Consider the following 17,612-nt stretch of genomic DNA (forward strand, 5'->3'; position numbering starts at 1 on the left):
ATTCGCATCTCGGAGAGAATAATCTGCAGCAATGTGAAGAATAGATGGAGGAAGGACACTGAACAAGGACCTCAAACACAGCATGTCAAAGGCCGGGTCATTCCCATGGATAAATATATCCCACTAGCCAGGGCAGACCCCTGGGATCATTGATAAGTATTCATTCAGTGCTGACCATGCTGCTAGTTTTATGCTAGGTTCTGGGGATAAAGCAGAGAAGCAAGACAGGCCAAGCCCCACCCTCAGGTACCGGTCCTTCTACCTAGGAGACAGCCTTCATCCATGATCCTTACCTCTCCACCCCACACCCAGTCAGGCACTATCCTCTCTAAACTCACTCTCTCCAACCTCTCCATTCCTCTCTGGTCCCCTTCCCTACCTCAGTCCAAACCCTGTCTGTCTCTCGCCTGGTCTATGCAGTTGCCGCCCACCCACCCCAGCAACTCATCATCCTGCCTTTGGTCCTTCCTTAATCTAGTCCGTGCTGCGTACCGCCATTGGAGAGATCTTTATAACACCAAAGTCAGCCTGATCGGGTTCGATGAGGACCTTTGGAAGCCCTCTAAGATAAAATCCAAACTTCCTAGCATGGTCTACCGGGCCCCTGATGGTCTGACGCAGTCTTGGCTGCCCCTTCCTATACATCCAACCTGTGCCATATCACATGCAGTGAGTGCCCTGGCCAGGCATTCCTGCTCCATCCTCTCTGACTTTGCACGTGCAATTTGTGCTTATCCTTCTTCTCAGTACTTCCTGTGCACCAGATCCTCACTAGTCTGCTGGCCAGGAATGCAGAAATGTGCGTAATCCATTCCTTGATGTCAAGTCGTTCACAGGTGGTAGAGGAGACAGACCAGAAATGATGAGATAGGGATGCACGGGGTGTCCCCATAGGTAAGCAAGAAGAAAACACTGCATTCTGACCCACTCTGTCATCAACATTAACTTTTTAAGGAAATGAAGGGTGTGTGTATTATAGTATTTTTAGAAAACTTTGGCATCATTGAGTACGATGGGAGAAGACACTAGGCCGGGTGCGGTGGCTCAGTCTGTAATCCCAGTACTTTGGGAGGCTGAGGCAGGAGGACTGCTTGAGCCCAAGAGTTCGAGACCAGCCTGGGCAACATAGTGAGATCCCCATCTCTACAAAAAATATAAAATATAAAAATTAGCCAGGTGTGGTGGGGCATGCCTGTAGTCCCAGCTACTTGGCAGGCTGAGGTGGGAGGATCACTTGAGCCCAGGAGGTCAAGGCTACAGTGAGCCATGATCACACCACCGCACTCCAGCCTGGGTGACAGAGTGAAACCATGTCTCAAAAAAAAAGAGAAAAAAAGGAAGAATAAGAAGATACTAGGCATAAAAACCAGCAAGACAGAAGAGTTAGGACCTATATTAAAGTATTAAAAGTGAGTCTAAGAAGACATCAAGAGGGACAGATTGGCAGTACTGAGAACCACCCAGCTTTGGGCACTTACCACAATTTGTAATAATGTGTTTGTCTGGCTGCCTCAGTAGACTCTAAGTTACATGGGGACAGCCATCATGCTTCAATAAATATCTTCTGAGATCTTACTCTGTGTTAGACATTGTTCCCGTACTTGGGATATATCAGCAAACAAACCCTACAAAGATTCTGGTCTATGTGGAGCTTAAGTTCTGATGGGGAAAGAAGAATAAAAACAATAAACAAAATAATAAGTAAATTGTAGAAAGTGCAAGATCTAAGGAAATAAGAAGTAGAGCAGAGTAAGAGAGGTGATGGGTCCTGGGAATGGGAAGGGGTTGCAGAATTAAACAGTGTGGTGCAAGTCAGCCTCGTCAAGCAGGAGATGCTTAAGCCGACTTGAATGAGATGAGCGCATGACTAGCACAATGTAGTAAAGATTTTTTGAGGATAGAGGAGGAAGCTCATATGTCTCCTCATTTTTAGCTGATGTGCCTTCTGGGGAAAAGATGACAAGTTCTAGTTGAGACACATTGAGTTTGAAGCTAGGCAGAGCTGCAGGTCTCAGGTCAAGGCCGCAGGTTTAAATATTCTGAGTCACCCTTACTGTCAGTGTTCTTGATCCTTCTGTCCTTCTCCCAAAGGCTCAGGTTATGTTGGAGCTAAAGACTCGTGTGGAGGAATTAAAAATGGAGAATGAGTATCAACTCCGACTAAAGGACATGAACTATTCTGAGAAGATTAAGGAGCTAACAGACAAGTTCATCCAGGAAATGGAGTCCTTGAAAACAAAAAACCAGGTCTGTTTAAGAGACTGACCAACAAGCACAAATAACAAGAAATTTCCACTTTCAAGACAGGACTGGCATATACTGCCCAAGCTATGCTCAAACAGTAAGATATGTGAAAATGTCCAATTTTAAAGCATAGTCGTTGATATCAGAAATGCTTACAACTGGCCAGGCACAGTGGCTCATGCCTGTAATCCCAGCACTTTGGGAGGCCAAGGCGGGCAGACCACTTGAGGTCAGGAGTTCAAGACCAGCCTGGCCAACATAGTGAAATCCCATCTCTAGCCAGGCATGGTGGCACGTGCCCATAGTCCCAGCTACTCGGGAGGTTGAGGCATGAGAATCATCTGAACCTGGGAAGTGGAGGTTGTAGTGAGCTGAGATCGCTCCACAGCACTCCAACCTGGGCAACATAGACTCTGTCTAAAAATAAATAAATAAATAAATAAAAATAAATGCTTACAATCAATTGCTAAGTGAAAAAAAGCAGAATATAAACCACTTTATGGTGAATGGTATTAATCGGTATTAGTGGTATTAACAGATTAATTAATCTGATCTATAGTAGTAAAATACATATAGAAAATAGATAACAGTATAATTATCTCTGGAAGTTGAGATTACAGATAATTTAAATTTTGTTTTACATACTTTTTGTAATTTCCAAATTCTCTACAATGAGAATTATGATTAGGAGAAACTTATTTTAAAACAAAATGAAACGATAAGAAAAAGCAAAAAGATAAGAAAATCAAAGCATAGATGGAGAATAACTAGCAGAATACTGATTCCTGGATTGTCAGGAAGTTAAATAAAATTAGTCTACATGGCCTTTACATAGTTAGATTTGGTCTGGGACTCTCCCAGATTCTTTTCTTTGTTCTACACAAATCTGGACTCCTATCTAAAATCCCCACTGGGCAAGGTGGCTCACCCCTATAATCCTAACACTTTGGAAGGCCTAGGCAGGAGGATCGCTTGTATCCGAGAGCTTGAGACCAGCATGGGCAACATAGTGAGACCCTGTCTCTATGTAAAATAAAAAATGAGTCTGCCATGGTGGCATCTGCCTGTAGTTCTAGCTACTTGGGAGGCTGGGATGGGAGGACTGCTCGAGCCTGGGAGGTGGGGACTGTAGTGAGTCATGATCTCTGCACTGCACTCCAGCTTGGATGACAGAGCGAGGCCCTGTCCCTCACCCCCTAAAGAAATCCCCAATTATGTCCTTGAGGGATATTTGTTTCTTTAATGTCTATGGGTCATAAAGTTCGGCTAAAAAAAAAAAAGAAAGAAAAACCTTGGCTATTAATTGTATTAATTAATTCACTTTATAATTTTATTCATTTAGCCAACAAACATTTATTTGGTGCTCTATATAAGCCAGGCGCAAAGTTAGGTCCTGAAGATGGCACACCACCTCCAACTCGCCCCCCAAGCCTGAAAGCTTTCCTGCTCAGTTAAAGAAAACACTTCCTCAGAAGCTTACCCATGAGCACAGCCAAGGATTTTGTTGACAGCAATGTGCTGGCAACAGAGGATTCAAATGAATCCCTACTTTTTCACCCAGAAGTCCTTTTGACACGTGTCCAAAACTGAACTCATCATTGACAAACCCATTTAGTAGCAAGAATAGAAATAGGAACAGTATAGAGCTTTTAGAGCAGAATATAACATAAATGAAAAGTGACAATGTGGTTGCTGCTTCATAGAACAGTGCTTGGTGCAAAATGAGGGCTTGAGAAATGTTTGTGAGTGAAGGAGGGTGTTACTTGTAAAATCAGTTCTTGCCCTAGTAGTGCTTTCAGCAGATGTGTGTAAATGAGGAAATGTGACTCTGTTTTAGGTCTTAAGAACAGAAAAAGAGAAGCAGGATGTTTATCACCATGAGCACATAGAAGACCTCCTAGACAAGCAAAGCCGGGAACTGCAGGACATGGGTGAGCCCACAAGTAGAGGCCTCGTTGGTTAGGGTTGGAAGAGCTAGGTTATGGGGAAACACTCAAGAGTCCCCCAGACACAGTAGAAGTCTCAGGGAATATGGCTCTGTCTAAAAACAGGCTACATGTATCCCCTGGAACTCACTGTGGTTTTCACTTCTGTGTTTTTACTCATTCACTAAGCACATTAAACACCTATTGCATGAAAGTAGGAGGCACGGAAAAGGTCAAGTTTGGAACCTGATAGTCTTGCCTTGGGTCCCAGGCTCACCACGTACTTGCCAGGTGCTCTGGGGAGTCACCTAACCTTACCGAGCCTCACTTTGCTATAAAGCAGGAGTCCTAATACTTATTTTTCACACTCAGGATATTCTTCTTGGCCCTGAGTCCCCAAATACCACTCTGTGCTTTCCTGGAAACTTTTCTTCCCAGAGCAGGCAGGCAGGGAGTTTGGCTACCTGATGAGATGATGGGATGAGGGGTTGGCAGCAAGGAAGCTAGGCAGGCATTTGAATCTTGGCTCTGGAGGCAGCTGCTCCAGCTGGTGCTGGAAGGGATGGGAGAGCGCCCAAGGCTCCTGGGTGTCCCTGAAGCAAGTGCTGCTCTCCCACCTTAAATACCATCCTTGCTTCTCTCCAGAATGTTGCAACAACCAAAAGTTGCTTCTAGAATATGAGAAGTACCAGGAGCTGCAGCTCAAGTCCCAGAGGATGCAGGAAGAGTATGAAAAACAGCTCCGGGATAACGATGAGACCAAGAGCCAGGCCCTGGAGGAGCTGACTGAGTTTTACGAGGCAAAACTGCAGGAGAAAACCACCCTTCTGGAAGAGGTACTCACAGGAAGCCATGCTGTGCCTCCCTTTCACAGAGAAAAGCCACCCATTCACTCAGATCTCCATGGCATAGCCACTGTATGCCAGGATGTGTTATACACTGGGTCAGACATGGTTTCTACCCCCAAGGAACTTATATCAAATGGGAGAGACAGCCAAATAACATCGCAAATAAATATAACATTATGACTGTCACAAGTTCTGTGAGAGAAAAATATAGGAAGGCTGGGTGTCCAGTGAACAAGACCAAAGGAGAACAGGGATGGGGTGTTGGTAAGATTGGGGTTGAAGTGGTGGAGCATGAGGCCTGATTTGGTAGGAAAAGAGGGGAGGCAGGAAGACAGGACAGACGGGAAGAAGGTGGACAGGTCAAGGGCCCTGTGGCCATGGTCTCCGTTTCTGGAATGACACTCGCCTTTGACTCCCTGGGACAGGTCCCCATGCTCATCTCACCTCAAGCCCTGTTGGCACAAAGATGTGTGAGTCCCTTCTCCCCTGACCACACGCCCACTCTCTCTGAGCCAGGCACAGGAAGACGTCAGGCAGCAGCTGCGGGAGTTTGAAGAGACCAAGAAGCAGATTGAGGAAGATGAAGACCGAGAAATCCAAGATATCAAAACCAAGTATGAGAAAAAGCTTCGGGATGAAAAGGAATCAAACCTGCGGCTCAAGGGAGAAACAGGCATCATGAGGAAGAAGGTAGCAGGCTGTTCTCCAAGAGACCTAGGGTGGGCGAGGGTGTTGCAGAGAAAGCTGGGGTGGGTGGACTGACCGGCCTGGGGGTGCTGGCCAGGGTCCTGCCTGTCCCCATCTTCAGCGAGCAGGCTGGGAGAAGAGCACCAGCCAGTGCACCCTCACGCAGATGGACCCTCCCCACCTCGTCCTTGGAAAGGCAGCTGCACGGGCTTCCCTGCTCTCCTTTTCACAGGATATTGGGGTTCCCTGTGTGCAGACAGAGGCTTTCTAGTTTTCACTTACTGGCAAGTAGGATTCAGTTAATGTTTTCTGAGATAACCCTCCGATGGAAATGGAAATGGAAATAAGGTCTTCTGGGGATGAGATAGATGAAGTCTTGGCCGGGAGGCATCCTCGGGCTCTTGGTCCAGGGAGTCATGGGCGGCTCCTGTTCAGCACCACAGGTGGGAGAGGGAATGGGGGTGTAGGATGCTTAGTTTACAAAGTGGGGAAGATGTTTTTAGTTCACTCACCATCAGGGGTGAGGGAGGATTCAACTCAGTTTCCCCAAAACATTTAGCCCTGGAAAAGCTAAGTTCAAAGCAAGCTGAAGTTTCTTCCTATTAGAAAGCACACTAGTAAATCCAGGGAACAATCAGTCTTCCCTTCTTGGTCATGGCTAAGATGGCTCATCAGTTAGGGCCCACTTTCTGTGACCTTGATGCAGTGTGGATCCCAGCTTTTCAAGATCAGTGTGGTCATAGAAGTCTCTGGTCCACTTGGTGTACCGGTCTCTGGAACCTCTTGTGAAGACAGTCAGTCCTCTCATATGGAGAATGGGCCTGGATGTTATGGGACAGAATACTACATCATCCATTTGGCCTGGGAAATTCCTGAACCGTCCCAAATGCTCCAGATATTCACTCCTAAAATCCCAGAAATGTTGAATGCTAAGTGTTTTCAGTCCACAGAAGGTGGCCAGTGGTGGGGAGCCCCTTACACTGAGACAGTGGGAGGGATGGAGATGAGTTCTGACTTTAGTGGTCTTTGTTGTTGCTGTTCGCTTTTCTAGTTCAGCAGCCTACAGAAGGAGATTGAAGAACGAACCAATGACATCGAGACCCTAAAAGGAGAGCAGATGAAGCTGCAAGGAGTCATTAAGTCTCTGGAGAAGGACATCCAAGGCCTCAAGCGAGAGATCCAGGAAAGAGACGAGACTATTCAAGACAAGGTGCAGCTCTCCTTCTGTCCTCCCTCAGCTACGGCCAGATGGGCCAAGGCGAGGAAGGCAAAGCTCAGGGGAGAGAGGGTCCCTAGCTTCTCAGGACGCATTTCTTTAACTTGATGGGGGAACCAGCCGTCAGTGAAGTGCCTGTTGTGTGCTTGGCACTGGGCTAATCGCTGTCAACACATCACTTTCAGCTCTGCCAACAACCCAGGGGGCCTGAGAACCCAGTGTTATGGTTCGGGAAGCTGAACTCCAAGAGGCTGGGTATCTTGCCCAGGGTCACACACTTCAATAGGTGACAGGCTGCAATAAGAACCGAGTCAGCTGACTCCACTGCTCCAGGCATCCTTGGAGGCGCTTCCCCATGGGCTGGGGACAGCTCACTTGCCGCACTGACCACATGGTCCCCCTGTCGCAGAGGGACTCTCCTGGGATTGACCCTGTCCAGGAGGCTGCCTCCACTTTTGGGATGCCTTTCTTACAAAACACTCAGACGTCAGAGACATCACATTCTGTGGGGCAGATACCTCAATACCCAGTATGTAGTATCATCCTCCTGAGCACATCCAGATTCCGTGCCCTCCTCTCCATCTCCCCTGCCACTACGGCCCAAGGCAGGTGGAATTCTCCAAGGGCCAAGGACGTGGGCTTCAGTGTTAGGGAACTAGGTCTGGCACAGGTTCCATTTATTGACCATTGCACCTCGAGCAACTTCTCTAAGCCTTCATTTTCTCACCTATAAAATGGGGATGATAACCACCTCAAGGGGTCTTGTAAGGATCACATAGGATCATGGGATCATGCCTGGATGTCATTTCTGCATGTGAGTGTCGGTGTACATATCCAGGGTTTTGTTTGTTTGTTTGTTTGTTTGTTTGTTTGTTTGTTTTTAGGGAAGATCCAAAGCTCTGTTCAGATTCTCAAAGGGGGCTTTGACAAGAAAGAGACAAAGGCCTCCTCACCTAGAAAGTGGCAACAGCCTCCTAAGCAGTCTAATGGCCTCACTTCCCATCTCCCACCACCATGGACTGGCAGGGTACAGGTGCAATGCTGCCACTCTCCTGCTCAAAGCCCTCACAGCTCCCCATTGCTACAGCAGGGGTCAGCACGCTCTTTCTGTAAAGACCTAGGTAGTAAATATTTTTGGCTTTGGAGGCCATGTGGTCTGTCTCAACGAATCAACACCGCTGCTGTAGTGTGAAACCACCCATAAACAAAACATTAGTCAATTAACTTGGCTGTGTTCCAATAAAGTTTTACAGAAATAGACAGCAGGCCCAATGTGGCCCACAGGCTGGAGTTTGCCAACCCCTGGCCTAGGAGATAAATTCTGAACTCTTTCCCCCAACATGAAGACCCTCACCTCCCTCCTCTATTTCCCCAGCCTCACCTCTCACTTCCCCCATGAACCACCGCTTGGCTCTCAAGCCAGTCATTCTCAGCACCCTCAATATATACTTTGCCTTCTGTGCTTTACAACATTTATCACATTTTAGGCTTAGATTTGCTTCTGTGTCTTCTTTCCCAACTAGTGTTTTCTTTTAAGGGCAAGGGACTGTGTTGTATTTATATTTGGAAACCCAATACTTGACAAAAGATCTTCATTCAGTAAATGTTTGATGGATGGATATACTTATGTTCTGATTACTATCACCGTGCAACAAATTAACCTTAAAACTTACTGATTGAGGCCAGGTGTGGTGGCTCACGCCTGTAATCCCAGCACTTTGGGAGGCAGAGGCAGGTGGATCACTTGAGGTCAGGAGTTCGAGACCAGCCTGGCCAACATGGTGAAACCCCATCTCTACCAAAAATATAAAAATTAGCCAGGAGTGGTGGCACATGCCTGTAATCCAAGCTACTCTGGAGGCTGAGGCAGGAGAATCGCTTGAACTTGAGAAGCAGAGGTTGCAGTGAGCCAAGATCGTGCCACTGCGCTCTAGCCTGGGTGACAAAGTGAGACCCATCTCAAAAAGAAAAACTAAGTGATTGAAAGCAACTATTTTATTCTGCTTACAGGTGCTACAGATCTGGAATCTGGACAGGGTACAAAAGGATGGCTTATCTCTGTCCCCGATGTCTGGGGCCTCAGCTGGGAATACTGGGGGTGACTCAAAACAGCTGGAGGCTGGAAGATCAACATCCAATGTGGCTTCTTCAGTCACATGTCTGGCACCTTGGCAGGGGTGTCTGGGAGGCTAGGCTCAGCTGGGTCTTTTGATCAGAGCCCCTAATGTGCCCACCAGCCTGGATGTCTCAGTGTAGTTGGACTTCTTACATAGCAGATGCCCTCCCCCAATGCAGGTGTCCCAAGAGAGCCAGATAAAAGCTGCTTGGCCTTTTTTGGCCTAGCCTTGGAAGCCACACAGTCTCCCTTCTGCTGCATTATTTGGGTTACGAACAAGTCACAAGTCAAGGCAAATGCAAGGGAAGGGGATTCGCTTCCACCTCCTGATGGAGAAGCAGCAAGGTCACGCTGTAGAACAGCTGGAGTGTGGGGCGGGAGATGCTGTGGGGGCCATCGTTGGAAAATACCGCTGTTCACAACCTAATATGAATGAGTGAGTGAATGCATGAGAGTCCTTGTACAGAGGCTGAGGGGTCTGTGCTGTAGCCCCATGGGGGGAGTGCCAGCCTCTGTACTGACGAAGGGAGGAGAGGAGTCTCCTGGTTGACCTCTTCAACCAGGAGAGTCACAGGCTTCGTGCTCTTTTGCCCTAAAGGGCTGCAGTATACCAGGGCCTTACAATATCTCTCACTTCTCTCTCATCTCACCCCCAGGAGAAGCGAATTTATGATCTGAAAAAGAAAAATCAAGAACTAGGGAAATTCAAGTTTGTGCTTGACTACAAAATAAAGGAGCTGAAGAAGCAAATAGAACCTCGAGAGAATGAGATCAGGGTGATGAAGGAACAGATTCAGGAGGTAAGAAGCCATTTGCAACACTCTGGCCTCTCAGACCCTCTGTCTCTTCTTCCACAATTGGCTAGCTGGCCTCAGGGACTGAGGAGAAGCTCTTCTCACAGTCCTCTCTGCTCCCAAGGTGTGTGCAGCCTCCAGTCCACAGGGGTGCAACAGGGAAGGCCGTGGCCCCGCTGCAGGCTCAGCTGACCGAAAGCAAATCGCTTGGGAGTTAACTTGCCACGGGACCTGGAGATGGGCTTTGGCCCTACCCGTGCCTCAGTGTGCGGTGTACTGTGCCCTCCTAAGGGAGATGCAGCTATTGGGCATTTGGCCACCAGAGGGCAGTGTGTACTCAGCCAACAGGCTATCCTTCTAGTTCAGCATTTTTTTCTCAAACTGGAAATGTTGGTTGAGACCCCAGGTGAGGCCATGGTGTTTGGACTTCATCTGATAAGGAATGAGAAGTCATCAGAGGCTCTTGAGCAGAAGAGTGGCATAATTAAGAATATGTTCTGGGAAGCAAACAGGATGAAGGTAGAGAGGCGAGATTAGAAGCAGGATCAACTGGACAAGGGTTTCTGAGAATCCTGTGAGGTCCCCCATGCCCCCCACCACACGCCACCTTTCCCTGCAACGTGTGTTGCCCCATCAGCCTCCCCTGCTGGGCTGACAGTGGCGTCCATGTTGATCTAAAACCGAATTCTTGATTTTTCTCTCCCCCTTCCTCCAGTTTTCCCTCTCTCAGTTAGTGGTCTATGATCCACCCAGTTACTTAATGCAGAAATGCAGAAGTCTTTCTTGATTCTTCACTTCTCTTAACTCCTTATCCAAATCATCACCAACATCTGTCTGATCAATTTCCAAAACATATCTCACATCAAACCCTCCTTTCCCGCTGCTGCTATCACCCTGGTACAAGCAGCCACCATCTCTTATCTGGACTGGACTCCAGCCTCCAGTCTGGTCTCCACATAGAGGCCTGAGTGAACTCCCCAGTGGGGTCCCATCCCACCTACAGTAAAATCCAAAGTCCCAGTCAGGCCCACAAGGTCCTGCGTGATCCAGCCTCTCCCTGCCTCTCCAGCCTCCTCTCACAGCTCCCCCTCCCTGCTCCAGCCCACTGACTTTCTGACAGTTCCTGTAAGTCACGCTTTTCCATCTCAGGACCTCTGCAGTGCTGCTGCCTCTGCCTGGAAGGCTCTTCCCCCAGATCGCCACATGGCTGGCTTCTTTGCATCTTTCAGGTCTCAGCCTATATGCCTTCCCTGACCGCCCTAGACAAAATAGGCTTCTGCTCCCTCCTCCATCTTCTCTAATTGTTTGTGCTGAGCCGGGATAACAGATACAAGGGTGTCAGACAGCACTGATGACCCAACTAGAAGTGCCAGAGCCATGGGGGTGCCAGTCTGCCCGGTGACGCCTGTACTCTGGTAAGCCCAGTAAAGAGCCAGGTGGAGATCAGTCCAGGGCCAGGGGGCCCAGAGAGGGTATGTCCTTGTGACAATGACTTTTTCCCTGGCTTCTGGGATGAGAAAGGATGCCCCCAGCTGACCACAGACCTGCCTCCGCTGGGCCTCCTACCATTCTTGAGTGCTTTCAGGGCCCCAAAATGGCAGCTGTCGTCCTTTCGGGGTGCTATAACAAAATACTTTAGAAGGGATAATTTATGGCCAACAGAAATGTATTGCTGAAAGTACTGGAAGCTGGAAAGTCTAAGACCAAGGCTCCAGCAGATTTGGTGTCCAGGCCTGTTCCTCATAGATGGCACCTGCTATGTGTCCTCATGTGATGGGAGGGCAAAAGGGGGCAAACAAGCTCCCTCCAGCCTCTCGTACAAGGGCACAAATCCCATTTGTGAGGGCTCTGCCCTCGTGACCTGATCACCTCCCAAAGACCTGACCTCCTAATCCCATCACTTTGGGGGTTAGGTTTCACCATTGGAATTTGGGGTGGAGGGCACCAACGTTCATCAGACCATAGCAGCCTGAGAAGATGAGAGGAAGAGCAGAGGCCCCACCCACCTGGAGGGCCAGCACACCACAGGCCCCTGGAAATCACTGCCCCCTTTCTCCTTCCTCATTTGACACATTTGTCAGCTGCATTTCAGGTCGGGTCCGTTGTTTGCTAATGGTCAGCTTACTTTCCCCACCAGCACACCTGGGGGGACCATTCATCTTCTCTGGCAGTAACAGGGGCCAACCGTGGCCTTGATGCTCAGCAGGGAATACACTTGCACCTTGGGAGTGATTCCAGCAGGATCCCTCCTACCTCCTTTCGCTGGTGCCAGTTGCTGTCAGGACTGATACCTGGGCCTGGGTGCTTCTGGGAGCCTCTGACCTTGGGGCTTCCCTCTGGGGGTCATAGACACCTTTGGTTCATGCACTGTGGATCTCCTGTAAAGGTCTTTTTCTCCCAGGAAGGAAGCCTCAAGCCCTTGGCTCATTTGTAGAGCTGCAACTTCTAATAACACTTCCTGATTCAGGTACCCGCCCTCACATACTCTTTTTCCAACTTGGCTCTGATGATCCAAGGGTCCCTTTGCCCTGCCTAGGGGAGAGGTTTCCCGAGGCTTGTCGTTTTAGTTTACACTCATTTACTAGGGCAGGGTTTCTCAAGCTCAGCACTACTACTATTTTGAGGTAGGTAATTCTCTGTCATGGAGGGTCTGTCCTGTATATTGTAGGATGTTTAGCAGCGTCCCTGGTCCCTACCTGCTAGATCCCAAAAACACCCCCTATCCAGGATGTTAAAACTAAAAAATGCCTTCAGACCTTGCCAGAGGTCCCCTGGGGGGTGCAAAATGCTTTCTACCCTCCTGCCTGAGCCCCATTGAGAATCTCTGAGTGTGATGAAAAACACATGGAAAAGTAGATGGATTTTCCACACTGGGAAAAGATGCTTGTTTCCACATAAGGGGCTAGGCTTCTGGCTGTCCAGCCAGCTACTCAAATTTGACCTATTTCCCAATTTTTCTATAAACAGATTATTTTTATTCTCAGAGTAGTATGAGTCTTTGCCTGGGGGAAAAAATGAACAGAAGTAAACAATATACTCCTGTATGCCCTCTCTGCTAACCTCATCTGTCACTGCTGGCCTGAGATTTAGAGAATGAGGCACTCAGACATGATCTTCGGGAGCCCCGCAAACAGAAGCCCCCTTTCTCTCTTCCAGCTGCCATTGCCTTGGCCTAGGACGCTATCATCTGCCTCCTCAGCCAAACTGGCAGCCTCCTGACTGGTCTGCCTGGCCCCCGTCTTGCTCTTTTCAGCAGAACCTCTGCATCAGGCCCTCTAAGATGCAAATTACATCATTCCACTCCTGGTCTAAGCCTTCAGTGGCTCTCTGAGCTTTCAGGATAAAGGCAAACTTCTCACCATTTGAGCCTCTGCCCTTGGATCCTGCATGACCTAGCTCAGCCAGCCTCTTCTCCCTCCCCTCTCCCCCCTCTTCAAATCCCTGCTCCTGCAGCCACCCTAAGCCACTTGCAGCCTGCAGAGATGCGCCAGGCTGCCCATGCCTCTGGTCCTCTCTGTGTGCAGGCTGTTCTGTCTGCCTGGAATTCTTTCCCCTTTTGTCCTCTAATACTTATTCTTCCTCCCAAATCCAGTGGACGCATCCCATCTTTTTGGGTGCTGCCTGCTCACCTCCTCTGTGTACACACAGTGCTTTCTGCCTTAACTGCAGTGTTTATCCTACTCCACCTGAATTTCTGATTTACTTCTTTCTTATCCTTGCAGACCTGAGGCCTCTTGAAGGCAGAAACTACTTCTTAATCAGCCTTAGATCTCTAAGTCTACAACAAGCTGGGCGGCCCTTTCTAATGGGCACATTCTTTAGCTGTGCAAATACCCACACTCAATGTGTATCCCCTACAAGGTGGTTCTATATAACTCTGCCAACACTGCCTTCTTATCTTGTCATTCCTCTTCCAGAAGCAGGGTGTTTCAGGCTCTTTTCGTGTCCCTCACTATTGCTCTCCTTTGTCCACCACACTTGCCATTATTCGTTCATTCATCAAATATTTGAGTGCCACCTTTATGCCAGGCTTTGGGTCAGAGGGCTATTCTGTCTATACAAAATGCTTCCAGTAATGAGGAAAACCTTCTAAAAGCTGCCCTTTTGTGTCTAGAACATGGATGTGTTCATTAGGGCCTCCTGGCACCCCCCAGAAGGTTACCAAGAGCCTTGAAATTTGACCAAAGGGCCTGGGATAGACTAGAGGGGGAGGGTCTACTCTACCTAGCCGTGAAAAAATCCAGTGAATGATCCCATTCTCCCAAAACAGTCAGCAAACCTCCCTCTTATCAGAAATACTAGTGTCCACCAGATATAGTCCATAAGTCATTAGGAGTTAGGTCAATGAAAGCTCATGCACAGCTAGTCTCATCCTAATTGGACACTCCAGTTGTCATTCCCATGACTTTGGTTAATATAAATGCAAAAATGAATTTTTAAAAAATCTTTCAGCCCGGGCGCAGTGGCTCATGCCTGTAATCCCAGCACTTTGGGAAGGCGAGGTGGGCAGATCACTTGAGGTCAGGAGTTCAAGACCAGCCTGGACAACATGGTGAAACCCTGTCTCTCCTAAAAATACAAAAAAAAAAAAAAAAAAATTAGTTGGGCATGGTGGCAATTGCCTGTAATCCCAGCTACTCGGGAGGCTGAGGCTAGAAAATTGCTTAAACCCGGAGGCGGAGGTTGCAGTGAGCCAAGATAGAGATCGCACCACTGCACTCCAGCCTCGGCAACAGAGCAAGACTCCATCTAAAAAAAATGTATTTCAGAAGCTCACTGGTGGTTTCTTATTTTTCTTGTGAAGACAGGACACTTCTCAGTTGTACTTTTTAAGACCTTTCAACAGAATGATGAGGCTGAGGCCCCTTCTCAGCTTCCCCTTTCCTGTTTTATGCCTTAGATGGGTGGTGCCCACATGTTGGTCCCTCCAAACTTTCTGCTTTAGAATGACCCCATTCTAAAGTGGCCCCAGAGGGTCGAGATTCACTTATACAACTTCAGAAAGCAGGTGAGGAAGGTGCTTCTCTGGGGAACCCTGCCTCAGGTGAGAGTTGAGGTTCTAGTGCTTGGGTGTCACCAATTTATAAGGAATTCAAGAAAATAAAATAATCAGCATGGTTGAAGGAAAGGGAAAGTGACTCAGAGGGAAAACTTCCCAGCCTGGCCGTGGAAACACGTGATGCTGGTTTAGCATATCAGTCTAGGGGTGGGGAGCTGTTAGGAAAGCAAGTAGAAGAAAGGTTTTGATCCAGAGGACACAGAAGGGGATGAGAAAAGAAATGCCCGGGTGTCAGGGGTGGCATCCCCACTGAAAGACTACAGTTCTCAAATACAGTTTTCATTATCTAACTTTCTTCTTCTTGACTCTTTTCCCTTGTTGTCTACAGATGGAAGCTGAACTGGAGAATTTCCATAAGCAGAACACTCAACTGGAGCTGAACATCACAGAATTGTGGCAGAAACTGAGAGCCACCGATCAGGAGATGCGCAGAGAGAGACAGAAGGTGTGAGGGTTTCAGAGTCTGGCAGTTCTTGGATTCGGGATCTGGCACCTATCTGCAATGGGCAGCTGGCTTCCAAGAGGCAGAGCCAGCCCACTGCGAGGATATGTTTCCCATTTTAACTCACATTCTTTACTTGCTCCCAGCCCTGCCTGATTTCAGGCCCATGTAGATTTACATCACTGAACTCATCTGAGACTATAAAATGACTTTGGGTAAGTGATCAAGGAGGTGGGAAGCCAGCATGGCAGGAATATTTGTAGCATTTGGCTTCTTTGGAGGAGGAAAGTACGTGCTCAGAGAGGCAATTTGTCGCCGCTGGTTTAAGGCTTTGATGACCGAAAAATTGCCAAGGCCAGGGGAACCTCAAAGGTCATTGATTCCCATTTCTCCATGTTATAAATAAGAAAAATTAGGCCCCAAAAATTGGGAGGTTAAGAAACTTCACCCAGCACCCACAGCTAGGTAGTACACACAGGGCTAATAATGGAATCTAGGTTTTCTGGATGTGGGCCAGGACACAGTTGTGCCCTCCTGCCTAGCACAGGCCACTCCTTAACATTTGTTGAATAAGATTGGAACTTTCCGTCCAGGCACAGTGGCTCATGCCTGTAATCCCAGCACTTTGGGAGGCCGAGGCAGGTGGATCACGAGGTCAGGAGTTCGAGACCAGCCTGGCCAACATAGTGAAACCCCGTCTCTACTAAAAATACAAAAATTAGCCAGGCATGGCGGCACACGCCTGTAGTCCTAGCTAACTGGGAGACTGAGGCAGGAGAATTGCTTGAACCTGGGAGGCGGAGGTTGCCGTGAGCCAAGATTGCAACACCGCACTCCAGCCTGGGTGACAGAGCAAGACTCCGTCTAAAAAAAAAAAAAAAGATTGGAAATTTCCATCTTCTGCAGTAAGCATTAACTAACTCTGCACTAGGTAACACCAGCAGCTGCAGAGCTATAAACGAGAACTGATACAGATCCTGCCATTTCCATGCTGAAGAGGATGACTGGTGATTTGTGGCATGTGCATAATAGTTATATTGAGAGGTAGAAAACGATGGAACATGTAGAAAGGGCCATGGGAGCAAGGAGAAATGACTTTCTCTAGGTCAGGGTTGGGGAAGACAGGTAAAAGCATGATGAAGAGGGGACACTAGCCCAACTGTGTAGATGAACCAACCTGCCCACTCACAGCAGCGCTCCTGACTATCGGGAAGGGTAAGCACTGGATGAGCTAACACGGGGGACGTGGAAGCCCTGGCCAGGAATCTGCAAGAGAGAAATGATGCCATCTGTCTTGGCTCTAAAGGGATATGGGTGACCACATGAGCTTCCTTTTATCTTTTAAGGCCTGTGGTCCTGAAAGGGAATCAGAGTCAATAAAGGAGCCCATCTGTGTGGCCTCTTAAGGATGAAGCCCCATGTAGGCTGTTCAGGCTGGGTGTCCAGCCGAGGGCAGGTGCACAAGACTTTTCGTGCCTCCACCTGTTGGCTGTGTGCCCGTCTAAGTTTCTATGCCCAGTATGGCCCCTGGCAGTCAGCTGTAAGTCCCAGATGAGGCATCTCTTTTCCCTTTCTGTGCCATTAACCTCTGCCTGCAGCCCCCGCCCCTCCACCGAGAGCACCCTACAGCACCAGAAGGAAACGTCTCTGATTGCAGGAGCGAGACTTGGAAGCGCTGGTCAAAAGGTTTAAAACAGACCTCCACAACTGCGTAGCCTATATTCAGGAACCGCGGCTGCTGAAGGAGAAGGTTCGAGGTCTCTTTGAGAAGTACGTGCAGCGAGCAGACATGGTAAGCTCAGCCTCCCCTCCTGCCATGCACTGACCTCCGGGGTCTCCTCTCCCTCACTGAGAATCTCCTGGGCCCCGTCAGGTGGAGATCGCAGGGCTGAACACAGACCTGCAGCAGGAGTACACCCGGCAGCGGGAGCACCTGGAGAGGAACCTGGCCACTCTCAAGAAGAAGGTGGTCAAGGAGGGCGAGCTGCACCGCACAGACTACGTCCGCATCATGCAGGTACCTGCATGCTCCCCTCAGCCCCTGTGGAGGCCAAGCCATCCAAGATGAGAGATCCCATCAAGGGTCCCTCTGAGACCACCTGTCTTCAGGGCTCCCCAGGTGTCTGGGGGCCCAGTAGCTCCCCCTAAAGTCTTATTTTGGCTCCTCTCCTCTGAGCTCGTCTTGGCTGTGACTGTGGCTGAGAGCTCACCTAGGAGGTTTTCTAGGCACTTCCATGCTGCACCCTGGCCTCCACCCCACCCAATGCCCACCTCCCTTCTC

The 17,612-nt window shown here is 48.7% G+C and overlaps 1 protein-coding gene and 1 long non-coding RNA gene across 20 annotated transcripts in view, besides 1 other annotated feature; one reads left to right on the top strand and one right to left on the bottom strand.

Annotated features, from left to right (window-relative positions):
* Positions 1-17,612, top strand: part of CFAP57 (cilia and flagella associated protein 57) — an 82,029-nt gene that overhangs the window by 44,961 nt on the left and 19,456 nt on the right. For 11 of the 15 annotated variants that reach the window (XM_011540796.2, XM_011540793.1, XM_047447334.1 and 8 more), the window contains 9 exons: positions 2,092-2,247; positions 4,082-4,175; positions 4,815-5,005; positions 5,534-5,707; positions 6,756-6,914; positions 9,693-9,836; positions 15,218-15,334; positions 16,989-17,123; positions 17,205-17,348. In XM_011540796.2, coding sequence (XP_011539098.1) covers positions 2,092-2,247; positions 4,082-4,175; positions 4,815-5,005; positions 5,534-5,707; positions 6,756-6,914; positions 9,693-9,836; positions 15,218-15,334; positions 16,989-17,123; positions 17,205-17,348 — 1,314 coding nt within the window. Of the gene's footprint in view, positions 1-747; positions 834-2,091; positions 2,248-4,081; positions 4,176-4,814; positions 5,006-5,533; positions 5,708-6,755; positions 6,915-9,692; positions 9,837-14,775; positions 14,875-15,217; positions 15,335-15,477; positions 15,547-16,988; positions 17,124-17,204; positions 17,349-17,612 lie in introns of those variants that run through there. The other 4 variants (NM_001195831.3, XM_017000422.3, XM_011540800.3 and 1 more) reach the window with 3 other exon arrangements.
* Positions 1-17,612, bottom strand: part of LOC105378685 (uncharacterized) — a 68,913-nt gene that overhangs the window by 35,609 nt on the left and 15,692 nt on the right. The gene's annotated exons all lie outside the window — the stretch shown is intronic.
* Positions 4,089-4,368: an enhancer, noted in NCBI's record as "active region_914". NCBI's record gives its function as "activates an Ori minimal core promoter by ATAC-STARR-seq in GM12878 lymphoblastoid cells {active_cell/tissue: GM12878}" and the evidence as "EXISTENCE:reporter gene assay evidence [ECO:0000049][PMID:35858748]".

Source organism: Homo sapiens, chromosome 1 (genome assembly GCF_000001405.40).
Source record: "Homo sapiens chromosome 1, GRCh38.p14 Primary Assembly".
Classification (NCBI taxonomy): domain Eukaryota; kingdom Metazoa; phylum Chordata; class Mammalia; order Primates; family Hominidae; genus Homo; species Homo sapiens.